Raw genomic sequence first — 15,920 nt, 5'->3', positions numbered from 1 at the left:
GTGAATTGTTCTCTGCCATTGGGTTGTCCGTGAAGAATTTCAACCTATGAACATTTCTAAACATTCAGAGAAGTTGAAATAATTGTACAGCGAACACCTGTACACCAACCATCCTCCCAATTCTACAATTTATATGTTACTATTCTTGTTTCATTCTGCCTCTATCCTTCTATCCCTCCATGTTCTTTTTTTGATGCATTTCAAAGTTGCCCACATCAATCCAATTCCCCTTACCCCAACACTTCATCTTACACTCATTAACCAGAGTTCTCAAAGGGTTTTTAATAACATGAAATGCTTTTTTGAAAAAAGTAAGATGTAAAATTAAACATACTGCATGGCCTTAGCCATTCAAAAATATATCAAAAAGGCCAGGCACGGTGGCTTATGCTTGTAATCCCAGCACATTGGTTGGCCAAGGCGAAAGGATTGCTTAAACCCAGGAGTTGGAGAGCCTGGGCAACATAGTGGGACTCTGTCTCTATAAAAAATTAAAAGGGAGCTGAGCATGGGAGTACATGCCTGTAGTCCGAGCTACTCAGGAGGCTGAGGCATGAGAATTGATTGAGCCCAGGAGCTCGAGGCTACAGTGAGCTGTGATCGAGTCACTGAACTCCATCCTGGGCAACAGAGCATGCTGTCTCCAAAGAAAAAAAAAAAAAAATATATATATATATATATATGTGTATATATATATATATATATTTTATATATGTGTGTGTGTATATATATACATATATACATATATACATATATACACGTATATACATGTATATATACGTATATATGTATATATACGTATATATACACACACATATATAAAATGTTTTATATGTGTGTGTGTATGCATATATGTATATATGCATATATGTATATACACACACACACATATATATATACACACACACACACATATATGAAATCCAGGGCCAGGCACAGTGGCTCATGCCTGTAATCCCAGCACTTTGGGAGGCTGAGGCGGGTGGATTACCTGAGGTCGGGAGTTCGAGACCAGCCTGACCAACATGGAGAAACCTGGTCTCTACTAAAAATAAAAAAATTAGCCAGGTGTGGTGGCGCATGCCTGTAATCCCAGCTACTGAGGAGGCTGAGGCAGGAGAATCGCTTGAACCTAGGAGGTGGGGGTTGCAGTGAGCCGAGATTGTGCCATTTCACTCCAGCCTGGGTGACAAGAGCAAAACTCTGTCTCGAGAAAAAAAAAAAAAGAAAGAAATACAGAAGGAAATACACCACCATATGCCATTGTTCTTTTCTTTTCTTATTGTTGTTTGTTTCTTATACTTTTCCTTGCTTTCCTCACTTTCTGCCATGGGCATATGTCCTTGTATGTGTGCTGAGTAAAACAAAGAGGAGGGAATGATTCACACACAGTTTAGCTCCTGTCTTGGGTAGGTGGTGCCTAGCACTTCTGCCTCCTGGCCACAGAAGTCCCAGGGAAGAAAGATGAAGTGCCTGGTGGCTCCAAGGCAGCCACCTCATTTATCCTCTTTGGTCTCACCTTTTCATCTCAAGGCCCGACACCCCACCCTCCAAACCAGTGGCCTTTGAGGAGTTTAAGAATGAGCAAGGTAGTGAGATCAACCGAATTTTCAAAGAAAACAAATCCATCTTGAATGAACGGAGGAAAAGGGCCAGCGAGACCACACAGCACATCAATGCCATCAAGCGGGAGATTGATGTGACCAAGGAGGCCCTGAATTTCCAGAAGTCACTACGGGAGAAGCAAGGTAAATGTGTTGGAAAGAGGGCTAGGGAGCTTTGGGGTCTCAGAGTCATGCTGGTTGAAGCAGAACAGCCCTTGGCACTAGAGGTCTGAGATGGGAGGGGGCCAGTGGGGGTGCTGGGATGTGGCCTTCACCCATAGGTCAGATCACTTAGCTCTGGTCAGCCCCTGAGAGCCGCAGAGTCCTCCCTGTCAGCCAGCCTCTGCCTGTGGGTCCCTCATTGTTGCATTATCTCAGACCTAGGTGCTGGGCCTTCCACCCCATATGTGCTACTGTCCCTGGTGAAACAGGCCCTTTGTCCTGCAGAGGTATCACTGGGAGATGGGTAGCTGGTGACCTCTACAAGGTCCGTGGGTCTCTGTGTGGTTTCCTCACTGCCCCAGGTGGTCAGATTGAGGTGGGGCTGCTGGTAGGGACTATGAAAAACCAAGTAAGGGAACAAGAATGTGGATGCCAGAGAGCCAAGGGACTCACTTTCAGTAAGGCCATTCCCTATGCTGAATCCCTGACACCCGTGCTGGTCTGTCAGAGTCTTATCTCCTAGAGCTGGTGGCAGGGGGTGCTCCAGGCTCAAAGAGCAAAGAACCCCAACGTGGGGAGGGTGCTCACCTGGTTACTCTGACCCAGTGTCCTTGTCCTGGTGGCGTGCGCCGCCCACACCTGCACTGAGGGCCAAGGCCCACCAAGCTTGCGTGTTCAGATGACTTATCTGAGAGGGCTGGTCAAGTGCAGATTCCCAGCCCCTCAGCCAGTGGTTCTGACTTGGGAGAGATGGAGCAGGGCCCAGGACCTGCATTTTAGTGAGTGACCATTCCAACTCTGGGACAGGTGGTTCAGAGGCCACACTGTTCTTCACACTCCTGGCTCAGTCTTACTGTCTTCTTCCAGACAGGAAACACCACAGGTTACTGGGCTTTCCCTCGCTAAATCACAACCCTGTTCCAGGCCAGCTTCCATGAGTGATCTCCAGATGTCACTTGGTTTATTCCTGCAAGTCAGATGCATCATCTCACTCACAGGGGGTGCATTTTACTCATTTATTTCTCAGAGGAGCAGGGCGTGGTGGCACACACTTGTAATCCTAGCATCTTGGGAGGCTGAGGCATGAAAATCGCTTGAGCCCAGGAGGCAGAGGTTGTAGTGAGGCAAGATTGCGCCACTGCACTCCAGTCTGGGTGACAGATGAAGACTGTCTTGGAAAAAAAATATAATAACAATTAAACAATTATTTCTCAGAGGGCAACTTTATTTTCTAATTCTTGGGGCCATTCTTATCATACCTCACAGACCAATTATGACATGCTATTCCTGAGGGCAAAGCCCTCCACGGGTCTGGGAAGCTGGAGAAGGCCAGTGATGGTGGCTATAGACATACCCCTATCCAGAGCCACAGGGAGAGGACATGGTGAAGATTTTATGGGACAAACAAGCACTTCTTTGTCCTCTCTGCTCACACTTTCTTTGAACATACAGCCCCTTATTACATATTTAAGATAAAATATACGCATGGTATGCTGGCATATCATTTACTCCTAAATACACCTGAAAGTGGACAGTTTCAAAGGATGAGATGAGGAAGACATTAAATTTTTTTTTCTTTTTCGAGATGGAGTTTCACTCTTGTTGCCCAGGCTGGAGTGCAATGGCATGATCCCGGCTCACTGCAATCTCCGCCTCCTGGGTTCAAGTGATTCTGCTGCCTCAGCCTCCCAAGTAGCTGCGATTACAGGCATACCCGCCACCATGCCCAGGTAATTTTGTGTTTTTAGTAGAGATGGGGTTTCTCCATGTTGGTCAGGCTGGTCTTGAACTCCCGACCTCAGGTGATCTGCCCGATTTTCGGCTGGGCGCGGTGGCTCACGCCTATAATCCCAGCACTTTGGGAGGCCGAGGCGGGCAGATCACGAGGTCAGGAGATCAAGGCCATCCTGGCTAACACGGTGAAACCCTGTCTCTACTAAAAATACAAAAAAATTATCCGGGCGTAGGTGATGCACGCCTGTAGTCCCAGCTGCTGGGGAGGCTGAGGCAGGAGAATGGTGTAAAACCCGGGAGGCAGAGCTTGCAGTGAGTCGAGATTGCGCCACTGCACTCCAGCCTGGGAGACAGAACGAGACTCCGTCTCAAAAAACAAACAAAAAAAATTTATCAGTATTAAAAAAAAAACCCCATTTTTGTGCTGTCCCCCCAAAGTAGTTGTTTTTCCACTGATTATTAAAATATTAATAAAATACCTTTATTTTATTGAATTTACTTGAACAGATCAAGTAAACTCATATCTCCTAGGCCAGGCGAAGTGGCTCACGCCTGTAATCTCAGCACTTTGGGAGGCTGAGGCGGGTGGATTGCTTGAGTACAGGAGTTCGAGACCAGCCTGGGCAATACAGTGAGACCCCGTCTCTACAAAAAAACATAAAAAATTAGCTGGGCGTGGTGGCACATGGCTATAGTCTCAGTTACTTGGGAGGTATGGTGAAAGGATCACCTGAGCCCAGAAGGTTGAGGTTGCAGTGAGCCATGATCATGTTACAGCACTTTAGCCTTGGCGACATAGTGAGGCCCTGTCAAATCAATCAATCAATCAATCTCTTAGATACCTTATTATTGACAGCCACTTGTTGACCCAGGAAGGTCAACATATTTGGAACATTAGTCTCTTGTAAAAGAACTTGAGGCCAGTAATTCAAGAAAAAGAAAAAGAAACAAAAGAAAAAAAGAAAAATGTAAAAATGTAAAATCATCTTTAAATTCAACTCTTTTTCTTCCTGGAGATAATCAGAGATCCTCTGGGTAGAACAAAAGATGTTCACAGTTACTCCCCATCTTCATAGAGTACTGTAAAGCCTCTACTCTGTAAAGGATTGTGGCTTATCCAAATAATCACATCAGGGACCTCCCACAGCATAGAGACCACAGCAGATTGCTCTGCATTGAAGGTGAGACACCTGGTGAGGGTGACTCCCACTCCCCACTCCAGATCCCAGATCCCAGAGTCTAGACATTTGCTTTTCCATTAATGACTCCATTAGTGGCTTTTAATGTGTCTCACTTTTTTCTCAATAAACATCAGTGGAAGTGCTAACACTTTCCTCTAGCACCTGGGGGCTGCCTCATGCACCCCAGCCACACACCTCAGGTCACATGCAGAACACACTTACCCTACACTTGGGGATGGCGGTTGATGTGATGCCTTTGCTAAGCTTTCAGGTGCTGTGAGCAGTGGAGAGCAGGGTGAATGGCTTTGCACACCAAATTATTTTGTCTTAACCCAACAACTGTCACTGAACTGACAGACCTTAAAAGATCCATGCAAAGAGACTAATAGCACTGACCCTTGTCCCTGGAGCCCTTTGATAGCTACTCAACACGATATAGATGTCTAATCATCTCTAACAAGAAGGTAGCTGGTGAGCTGCGCATGGTGGCTCACGCCTGTAATCCCACCACTTTGGGAGGCCGAGGCGGGCGGATCACCTGAGGTCAGGAATTCAAGACCAGCCTGGGCAACATGGTGAAACCCTGTCTCTACTACAAATACAAAAATTAGCTGGGCGTGGTAGCACATGCCTGTAATCCCAGTTATTCAGGAGGCTAAGGGAGGAGAATCGCTTGAACTCGGGAGGCAGAGTTGCAGTGAGCCGAGATTGTGCCACTGCACTCTAGCCTGGGCAACAAGGCGAGACTCCATCTCAAAAAGAAAAAAAAAGAAAGTAGCTGGTGGATGTGTGTATCAGCAAGAGACAATTTGAACATCTGCTGTTATTAATAAGGAGCCTTGCCCAAGTGCCTTGTAGTACTAGCCAGTGATGGCAGTTTGTAGATGTAATTTACAAGAAAAATAGACATTTGTATACTAGGGGTGCTTACTAAATATCTTTGGCTACTAGAGTTTTAAATAAAATAAGCATGGAGCATGGGCCTTCTGTACCTTCCCCTGCCCTCTGCTCTTGTTTGCCCTAAAATGCCAGTGTGGCCCCACTGAGCTGAGCTCCCCTCCCTGTGAGATTATGCCCTGGCAGCCTGGCCTTCTTGTGCTTTGCCCATCTCCTTGCCATGGGCCAGCCCTGCCTGTGGTCTCCTGTCTTCATGATTTGCCAGCTCTGTGCCCACCTTCTGGAATCCCTTCCTCCCCCAATTTCAGGTGGACACCTCCTCATTTCCTGACTTCTTCCATCACCTTGCAGGCAAGTACGAAAACAAGGGGCTGATGATCATCGATGAGGAAGAATTCCTGCTGATCCTCAAGCTCAAAGACCTCAAGAAGCAGTACCGCAGCGAGTACCAGGACCTGCGTGACCTCAGGGCTGAGATCCAGTATTGCCAGCACCTAGTGGATCAGTGTCGCCACCGCCTGCTCATGGGTGCGACAGTTGGGAAGGTTGGCCGCCACCTGAGGTACAAGGAGACTCAGGGAGAGGCCACAGCCTGAGTTCTGGAAGCACCCTCAGAGTTTCTCTCTGGCAGAGCCAGGGGCTGGGCAGGGGCTTGAGATGTGTGGTTCCCAGGACTGTGAGGGCCAGAGATGGAGATGGGGACAGGGTAAGACCTTGGAGCAGGAAGTGAACAGATGGTGAGCCTGCAACAGATATAAGACAGATGACAGCACACAGCCCTTACCGGCTTCCTCAAGTTCTGTCTCCTCACCTCCTTGTAGAATTTGACATCTGGTACAATGAGTCCTTTGTCATCCCTGAGGACATGCAGATGGCACTGAAGCCAGGCGGCAGCATCCGGCCAGGCATGGTCCCTGTGAACAGGATTGTGTCTCTGGTGAGCGGCACAGGGGCAGGGGTGTGGCAGTGGTTGAACATGGGGCAATGGGCAGTGCCCCTTGATGTCTGTTCTCAACACAAAGATGGCAGTGTGTGTGGTGCTCCCAGCCTCTCCACAGCCAGCCCAGGCAGGTGGGCAGGTACAGGTCTCTCCTCGGTTATCAAGGAATGGGGGAAAATACCACTCTTACTACTGCCACCTTTCTAAAGCAGTTCATCCTGCTCAGGCAGCAGTTACAGGTTGTCTGTGGGAACACTGACAGACATGGGGGCTGGAGGGCTGTGAGATGCCCTTTTGGTGGCGGTGGGGCGGTGTGTGGCACAAACCCAGCAAGGGACTGCCCTGATGCACACCACAGGCTCTGCTAGGGTATATCCTGACAATACCATGCTAAAGGGACTGTCCTCCCCCAGGGAGAAGATGACCAGGACAAATTCAGCCAGCTGCAGCAGAGGGTGCTTCCTGAGGGCCCTGATTCCATCTCCTTCTACAATGCCAAAGTCAAGATAGAGCAGAAGGTAACTCAGAGGCCTATGTCTCCAGGAGGATGGGGGCCTCAGTGACTAGGAAACCCAGGATCATATTCCCTACTTTAGAGAGGTAGGGGAGGAATGGCACCATTCCAAGGAGATTAGTCACCCTCAGTCAGTGGGTGTCTTCTGCCAACTAGACTGCAATTGGGCTGGACCCTAGAGGAGTCCCACCAACCACGGCCAGGCCAGGACATGGCTGGTGAGTACTGACTAGCCTATGTATGGTTCGCAGAACAAGGCCCAGGGATCCCCTGAGGCTTCCACCTGTCAGGGAGGACCTCTCCAACGGGGTCCACTCTGCACAGGTGGCAGGGGACAGAGGATCACATGCAGCTGAGGCATAGCTAGACATGGCGTTAGCTATAGAGTGGGTGGGGTACTCTCCTCCTCGAGCAGGTTAGGCTGGTGCAGAGGGTCTCCATTCTACTAAGGCCTTGTCTGGAGCCAGAACACAGAGGGCCCTGTGCACTGCACACTCCTCTTTGCACAGAGGCAGTGCTTATACAGCAAGTGGCAGATGCACACGGGGCAGAAGCCCAAGTGAGTTCATTCTTTCGCAAATATTTTTGTAGTTATTTATTAACATACTCATTAGGTGATACATTCAGGTGTTTCAAACATTAAGAAAGCATGAAAGTATATGGCTGGGCACGGTGGCTCACGCCTGTAATCCCAGCACTTTGGGCGGCTGAGGTGGGTGGATCACTTGAGGTCAGGAGTTCAAGACCAGCCTGGGCAACATGATGAAACCCTGTCTCTACTAAAAATACAAAAAATTAGCCAGGCGTGGTGGCACATGTCTGTAATTCCAGCTACTCAAGAGGCTGAGGCAGGAGAATCGCTTGAACCTGGGAGGTAGAGGTTGCAGTGAGCCAAGATCACACCACTTTACTCCAGCCTGTGCAATAAAGCGAAACTCTATCTCAAAAAAAAAGAAAAAAAAAATGCTGGGCACAGTGGCTCTGGCTGGGCACGGTGGCTCACGCCTGTAATCCCAGCACTTTGGGAGGCTGAGGCAGGTGGATTGCCTGAGCTCAGGAGTTTGAGACCAGCCTGGGCAACATGGTGAAACCCTGTCTCTACTAAAATACAAAAACTTAGCTGGGTGTGGCAGCATGCTCCTGTAGTCCCAGCCACTCGGGAGGCTGAGGCAGGACAATTGCTGGAATCTGGGAGGCGGAGGTCCCAGTGAGCTGAGATTGTACCACTACACTCCAGCCTCGGCGACAGAATGAGAGACTCCGTCTCCAAAAAAAAAAAAAAGAAAGTACAAATGCTGTCCCCCTCTATCAGCTTCTGATAGGGCACCCCTGTCACTTGTTTCAGATCCTGGAAACCCCTTCTGACAGGACACCCCATCACTTGTTTCTAGTGTTCCCCTCAGTTTTCTCTCTTTCTTTTTTTTGGGGGGGGTGGGATGGAATTTCACTCTTATTGCCCAGGCTGGAGTGCAATGGCGTGTCCTCACCTCACTGCAACCTCCACCTCCCAGGTTCAAGTGATTCTCCTGCCTCAGCCTCCTGAGTAGCTGGGGGCATGCTACCATGCCCGGCTAATTTTTTGTATTTTTAGTAGAGATGGGGTTTCACCATGTTGGCCAGGCTGGTCTCGAACTCCTGACCTCAGGTGATCGACCCGCCTTGGCCTCCCAAAGTGCTGGGATTACAGGCGTGAGCCACCGTGCCTGGCTTCCCCTCAGTTTTCTGCACCTTGCTTTTTCTACTTAGCAACACATCCTGAAGATCATGCTGTGTCAACCTATTGGTGCTTCTGTGTCTTTTTTTTTTCTTTTCTTTTCTTTTGAGACGGTGTTGTGCTCTGTTGCCCAGGCTAGAGTGCAGTGGCATGATCATGGCTCATTACAGCCTCGACCTCACAGATTGAAGCGATCCTCCCACCTCAGCCTCCCGAGTAGCTGGGACTATAGGCATACACCACATGCCCAGCTAATTTTTTTTTTTTTTGGTAGAGATGGGGTTTTGCCTTGTTGCCCAGGCTGGTCTCAAACACCTAGGCTCAAGTGATCCGCCTGCCCTGGCCTCCCAAAGTGCTGGGATTACAGGCATGAGCCATTGTACCTGGCCGGTTTTTTCTTATTAATTTTTAGGAACTTTTTTTTTTTTTTTTTTTTTTTTTGAGACAGAGTCTCACTCTGTCGCCCAGGCTGGAATGCAGTGGCACAGTCTTGGCTCACTGCAACTTCTGCCTCTGGGCTCAAACTATTCTCCTGCCTCAGCCTCTTGAATAACTGGGACTACAGGCACCCGCAACCACACTCAGCTAATTTTTTTGTATTTTAAGTAAAGACAGGGTTTCACCATATTGGCCAGGCTGGTCTCAAACTCCTGACCTCAGGTGATCCACCCACCTTGGCCTCCCAAAGTGCTGGGATTACAGATATGAGCCACTGCACCTGACCAAGAAATTAGCTCTTTGTGATATGATTTACAACTATTTCTTCCTGTTTGTCATTTGTCTTTTGACTTTCCTTATGGTTTTTGTTTTTTTTTTTTTTTTGAGATGGAGTCTCGCTCTGTCGCCCAACCTGGAATGCAGTGGCGTGATCTCGGCTCACTGCAACTCCGCCTCCCGGGTTCACGCCATTCTCCTGCCTCAGCCTCCTGAGTAGCTGGGACTACAGGTGCCCGCCACCACGCCCAGCTAATTTTTTGTATTTTTAGTAGAGACGGGGTTTCACCGTGTTAGCTAGGATGGTCTCGATCTCCTGACCTCTTGATCCACCCGCCTCGGCCTCCCAAAGTGCTGGGATTATAGGTGTGAGCCAGCATGCCCGGCCGACTTTCCTTATAGTTTTTTGTAGGTATTTTGTTATTTTTAAGAAATCAAGCTTAGTCCATTTAGGCTGCTGCAACAAAATACCTTAGACTGGGGAATTTATAAACAGTAGAAATGGGCTGGGCGCGGTGGCTCACACCTGTAATCCCAGCACTTTGGGAGGCTGAGATGAGTGGATCACCTAAGGTCGGGAGTTCGAGACCAGCCTGGCCAACATGGTGAAACCTCGTCTCTACTAAAAATACAAAAATTAGCCGGGTGTGGTGACGCATGCCTGTAGTTCCAGCTACTCGGGAGGCTGAGGCAGGAGAATTGCTTGAACCCGGGAGGTGGAGGTTGCGGTGAGCTGAGATCGCACCACTGCACTCCAGCCTGGGTGACAGAGTGAGACTCCGTAAAAAAAACAAAACAAAACAAAAAAAACAGCAGAAATGTATTGCTCACAGTTCTGGAAGCTGGCAAGTATAACATCAAGGCATCAGCAGATATGGGCTAGTAAGGGTTTGCCCTCCGCTTCAGAGGTGGTGCCTTCTAGTTGTGTCCTCACACAGCAGAAGTGCAATAAACTAACGAGCTCCCTCAGGCCCCTTTTATAGGGCACTAATCCCATCCCTGAGGGTAAAGCCTTCAAGACCTGTCACCTCTCAAAGGCCTCACCTCTTCATAGCATCACCATGGGGGTTAGCTTTCAACATATGAATTTTGGGGAGACACTGATATTCAGACCATAGCACAAGTTTATCGGTATTCTTTTTCTTAGTTTCTGGATTTTGTGTCATCATTTCCCCTAGTTGAATTCACTCTTTACGTTTAGGATTAAGCTGACATCTTCACTTACCTGATGGCTGTGAGGAGCTGAAGCCCATCCAGAGAGGCTTAAGCATAGGGGTCTCTTACATGGATTCTGAAGGTCCCATAGAGCAGCACGTCCCATCCTGTGCTGTGCACACAAATCACCAGGGGTCTTTTTAGAATGCAGATGGCCGGTAACAATAGCTCGTGCCTATAATCCCAGTACTTTGGGAGGCTGAGGCGGGCAGATCACTTGAGGCCAGGAGTTCGAGACCAGCCTGGCCATTGTGGTGAAACCCCATCTCTACTAAAAATACAAAAATTAGCCAGCCATGGTGGTGCATGCCTGTGCACGCCTGTAATCCCAGCTACTTGGGAGGCTGAGGTGTGAGAATTGCTTAAACCAGGGAGGTGGAGGTTGCAGTGAGCCAAGCTTGCACCACTGCACTCCAGCCTGGGCAACGAAGAGAAACTGTCTAAAAAAAAAAAAAAAAAAAAAAAAAAAGTAGATACTGATGGAGCCTGAGATTCTATATTTTGAATAAACTCCCAGATGATGTCCATGCTGCTAGTCCAGGACCACACTTGGGGTAGCACACTTAGAGGCTTTACCTTAGAACCTGCTCTTTATTAGGTTGAAGACGTTCTTTTCTGTTCCTATTCATTGAGTGTGTATTTTTTTTCTCAATCATGAAGGGAATATTGGAACCGTTATCTTTTTGCATACTGCCTCCCTTTTCTTTCTATTCTCATTCCCAGGACTCTGATTAGATGTATTTTATTTCATTCTGTCCTCTGTATCTCTTAAAATATCTTATGTTTCTTCCAGCTCCTCATTTCTCTATGCTGTAATTTAGGTAACTTTTTTTTTTAGACGGAGTTTTGCTCTTTCACCCTGGCTGGAGTGAAGTGGCGCAATCTCGGCTTACGGCAGCCTCTGCCCCCTGGGTTGTAAGTGATTCTCCTGCCTCAGCCTCCCAAGTAGCTGGGATTATAGGCATGCGCCACCATGCCTGGCTAATTTTTGTATTTTTAATACAGACAGGGTTTCACCGTGTTGGCCAGCCTGGTCTTGAACTCCTGACCTCGTGATCCACCCGCCTTGGCTTCCCAAAGTGCTGGGATTAGAGGCATGAGCCACTGTGCCCAGCCTGGGTAACTTCTTTTTTTTTCCCCCACAAGATGGAGTCTTCCTCTGTCACCTAGGCTGGAGTGCAATGGTGTGATCTTGGCTCACTGCAACCTCTGCCTCCCAGGTTTAAGCGATTCTCCTTCCTCGGCCTCCTGAGTAGCTGGGATTATAGGCATGCGCCACCACTACCGGCTAATTTTGTATTTTTAGTAGAGATGGGATTTTTCCTGTTGGTCAGGCTGGTCTCGAACTCCCGACCTCGGGTGATCCACCCGCCTCGACCTCCCAAAGTGCTGGGATTACAGGCATGAGCCATCGTGCCTGGCATTCTTTTTCTTTTTAATTAAAAACAATTTTTTAAAAATAGAGACTGGGTCTCCCTATGTTGCTCAGGCTGGTCTTCAGTTCCTAGACTCAAGGGATCCTCCTGCCTGGGCCTTCCAAAGTGCTGGGATTACAGGCATGAGCCACTGCACCCAGCCTTTTTTTTTTTTTTTTGACAAGGTCTTGCTCTGTCACCCAAGCTGGAGGGAGTGCAGTGACACGATCATAGCTCACTGCAGTCTTGATATCCTGGGCTCAAGCAATCATCTCACCTCAGCTTCCCAAAGTGCTGGGATCATGGGCGTGAGCCCCTGTGCCCAGATAGTTATTTTAAATAAATTCTTATTTTATGCTTTTTAAAAGGCTTTATTGAGACAGAATTTGCATACCATACAATTCACCCATTTAAAATGTGCAACTCGCCAGTCACGGTGGCTCACGCCTGTAATCCCAGCACTTTGGGAGACTGAGGTGGGTGGATCACTTAAGGTGAGGAGTTCAGGACCAGCCTGGCTAACATGGTAAAACCCTGTCTTTACTAAAAACACAAAAACTAGCCGGGGATGGTGGTGCACACGTGTAATCACAGCTACTCAGGAGGCTGAGGCAGGAGAATCGCTTGAACCCGGGAGGCAGAGGTTGTAGTGAGCCGAGATTGCGCCACTGTACTCCGGCCTGGGTGACAGAGCGAGACTCCATCTCAAAAAAAAAAAAAATTCTAAATCATTAAGCAGAGGAGTCCTGTATTTCTACAGGTCAAAATTCTATTCTCTCATTCCCCAATCTCTATAATTCTCTGTGTTGGCCATTTTTAATGTTTAAGATATGCCCATGCACAGACTTTTTATGCAAATGTTATACTCGAACCATTCCATGTTCTTTCAATTCTATGTTTTAGTTATTTAAATATATACTTTTATATAGGAAACATATAGATCAGATTTTTCATGGTCAAAATCTGTTTCCTGTTTTACTGAGTCTCATGGTGGCTTGACAGTGGCGTGTGTATGTGTGTGTGTTTGTGTGTGTATTGAAATCGTGACCTTGTGTTTGATTGAACTTAAGCTCAAGGAGACCTGAACACATAAATAGAAATTATTTTCCCCCTGAAAAGGTTTGCACTTGCTTTCTGCAGTTACCCATGGGGCATTACCAACCCAGGACCATTTTAACCCTCTTCAAGAATTCCAGTTTAATATGGGAGCTTCAATTCAGACTCCTACTTTGTGGGGAACCTAAGATTCCATGTTCCAAGCTAGTTTTAGCGTTTGCTGGCTTACAGCCCACTGTTTCTGTTTCAGCCTACAGTTTTCACCTGCTTTCTAAGAGCCTAGTGATGCATTAAAAAGGTATAATTTGTGAACATCTGATTGATTGCAGTGGCAAAGAGAGGGCCCTTCTGAATACCTGGCCCCTAACTCCTCTGGAGATAGAACCCTCTTCTTTTCTTTCTGAACCTATTCCCTATCAGAAACTCCCAAGAATGCCCTTGAAACCTATATGCCTCCTTTCAAATATGCCTGCCAGACTGTTTTAAAATAGTTTTACACACTTTCTTTAGGATAAAAGAATGAAAGAGTTTGAATGGATGTTATTTCTCAGAGAATTGGGGCTACTCAGAAGGAATCCTTGTCCACAACCCATGATGTTTGCAGGAGGAATGATAGGGTGAATGTGAGTGGCCTGGTCTGAGTCCCTGCTATGTCTGTCCCTCCTAATAAGTTCCTGTTTTCTCTTCCCTCTGTGTCCAGCATAATTACTTGAAAACCATGATGGGCCTCCAGCAGGCACATAGAAAATAGAACCTCATCGCCAGTACCTTAAAGGACAAGACCAGCAACTCCCACCTACTGTAGTGGAGCTGCTCAACCACCTGCCCAGAGCTGCAGCCCCCTCTACTCCAATGCTGGGACCCAGCACAGAGAACACATTTGGCCTGCATGTTGGGAGGAGCATCCTCCAAGGACAACCTTGCTCATCTCCACAGAGCACTTTGGGTTTTAATTCACTGTCTTATATGCAGGGACAGGATAAAATAACTTTCTAGTTTGGACTTTCAGTGCTCATCTGAGAACTTTGTCTTATTTCCTGTCTGAAAGGACATATTCTCTATGTATGTGTGAGGTCAGAACTGAGTCTCAAGTAGGAAGGCAGAAAAGTAGCTCAGCCAGGCTCCTCCTGGCAGGCCTTTGTCACACTGGTCAGCCCCTTTCCTGGATAGACATCCTAGGGTGGGGGTGGTGAGCTCGGTCTGAGGAGCTCTGCTTCTCACAGCTCCCTCAGACCCTAAGTTCTCTCAAGACATCTTTTCTGTGTTTCTGAGCCAGTGAAGAAGACAGGAGGAGGCCCTCCTTCATTTGGCAACCAGGGGAGGATAAGGTCTAGCCACAGAGACCAGAAAGGGATGAGGCAGAGCTGGCTCCATGTACCAGGGAATAAATGAGCAGCTTCTGGGAGACATGTCCTCTGCATGTTTCCAGAACACCACGGCCTTCCCTACGCAGCATGCACGGCCACCAGGCACCAGGGTGCCTCCCCTCCCCGCTTTCTCTCTCCGTGTAGGCTGCACTGAGCAGAAGTGAAAGTGAACGATTTACCCTGAATAGGAACTGGGATCACTGTCAAGGCTGAGCAGGGAAGAGAGAAGATATCACTCTCTATCAAGTTACCAGGCTGCAGCTTGGGCCCTTGGTGGTGGCACCAAAGGGAAAGAGTTCATTACTTTGCTCAGAGAACAAACTCAGGCCCTCTGGGGCCTTCCAGGCTGACTGATACGCCCCTGGGTTGGTAAACCAAGTCTCCACTGAGCGAAAAGTTTCAGTGCTTCCTTGGAATTGTATCTCACCCCCTCTTCTGTTCTTATGGGTCAAGGCCTTGGCCTGACACTCTGTGGGTGCTCCCCCGTCTGACACCCTCATCAGGGCCTTGAGGTTTCTGTTATTCTTCCAACAGTGGGAGAGGAGGTTCTGCTCACCTGGCAGTCCTGTCATGGGAAGCTGTGAGAGAAAAATACATCACTTCTGATGGGTGATATCTAGCTCTGGGACCACTTTGTATGAGGAAAGATGGAAGGAACTAGGTCTGCTTACCTGAAGAGGAAGAGAAATGTGACAGAGGCCATGAGGGGCTGCCAGGTAGAAGGGAAAGCAAGAGGATGTGGATGTGGGCTGAATGAGTAGCAAACATTTTTCCCAAAGGTTTTGTTGTTATTGTTGTTGTTTTTGAGACAGGGTGTCACTCTGTCATCCAGGCTGGAGTGCAGTGGTGCCATCACAGCTCCTTGCAGCCTCAACCTCCTGGGCTCAATCCTCCCACCCCAGCCTCCTGAGTAGCTGGGACTACAGGTGCGCACCACCATGCCTGGCTAGTTTTTTAAATTTTTTCTGGAGATGGAGTCTCACTATGTTGTCCAGAATGGTCTTGAAACTTCTGGGCTCAAACGATCCTCCCACCTCAGCCTCCCAAAGTGCCAAGGGATTACAGGTGTGAGCCACCTCTCCTGGCTAAGATTGTTATCTCAAAATAAGAAGAGGCTTAAAATGAGAGCAGTCCTGGCATGAAGTCATTAGTGAGGGCCCTGCAGCAGTAGGCTGTCTGGCAAGGAGGTTGCACCTGGTTGAAGGTTGAACTGGATAGTATCTATCCAATCAAAAACCCTGTGATTCTGCTCTTCAGCCCATCAGCAGATGGACATGGATTTTGTTGAAGAAAGTGATAGGATTGCCTTGGGGGCTCTGCCCTCTCCCTCCTCCAGCTCCTTTCTCTTCCCCTGACTGATGCTTCCAGGAGTCGATGCTTCCAGTATGGCAGGAAGGTAGGGGTGTT

General features: G+C 48.1%; 1 protein-coding gene and 1 long non-coding RNA gene across 17 annotated transcripts in view, besides 1 other annotated feature; one reads left to right on the top strand and one right to left on the bottom strand.

Moving 5' to 3' along the window:
* The window catches only part of KIF9 (kinesin family member 9), a 54,802-nt gene extending 40,251 nt beyond the window's left edge, over window positions 1–14,551 (top strand). For 14 of the 16 annotated variants that reach the window (XM_047448712.1, XM_006713291.4, XM_005265389.5 and 11 more), the window contains 5 exons: window positions 1,534–1,748; window positions 5,930–6,106; window positions 6,400–6,515; window positions 6,932–7,036; window positions 13,847–14,551. In XM_047448712.1, coding sequence (XP_047304668.1) covers window positions 1,534–1,748; window positions 5,930–6,106; window positions 6,400–6,515; window positions 6,932–7,036; window positions 13,847–13,897 — 664 coding nt within the window. In that variant the 3' untranslated portion in view covers window positions 13,898–14,551. Of the gene's footprint in view, window positions 1–1,533; window positions 1,749–5,929; window positions 6,124–6,399; window positions 6,516–6,931; window positions 7,037–13,846 lie in introns of those variants that run through there. The other 2 variants (XM_047448710.1, XM_047448713.1) reach the window with 1 other exon arrangement.
* Window positions 1–15,920, bottom strand: part of KIF9-AS1 (KIF9 antisense RNA 1) — a 79,747-nt gene that overhangs the window by 1,568 nt on the left and 62,259 nt on the right. The window contains exons 3-6 of the long non-coding RNA NR_033373.1: window positions 10,686–10,782; window positions 6,390–6,492; window positions 3,980–4,145; window positions 2,355–2,934 (exon numbers count right to left, since the gene is read on the bottom strand). This is a non-coding gene — a long non-coding RNA (KIF9 antisense RNA 1). The remainder of the gene's footprint in view (window positions 1–2,354; window positions 2,935–3,979; window positions 4,146–6,389; window positions 6,493–10,685; window positions 10,783–15,920) is intronic.
* Window positions 14,339–14,598: an enhancer, noted in NCBI's record as "active region_19810". NCBI's record gives its function as "activates an Ori minimal core promoter by ATAC-STARR-seq in GM12878 lymphoblastoid cells {active_cell/tissue: GM12878}" and the evidence as "EXISTENCE:reporter gene assay evidence [ECO:0000049][PMID:35858748]".

Source organism: Homo sapiens, chromosome 3 (genome assembly GCF_000001405.40).
Source record: "Homo sapiens chromosome 3, GRCh38.p14 Primary Assembly".
Classification (NCBI taxonomy): Eukaryota; Metazoa; Chordata; class Mammalia; order Primates; family Hominidae; genus Homo; species Homo sapiens.
The sequence above is the reverse complement of the archived record's forward strand: the minus strand, read 5'-3'. Positions and strand labels throughout refer to the sequence as shown.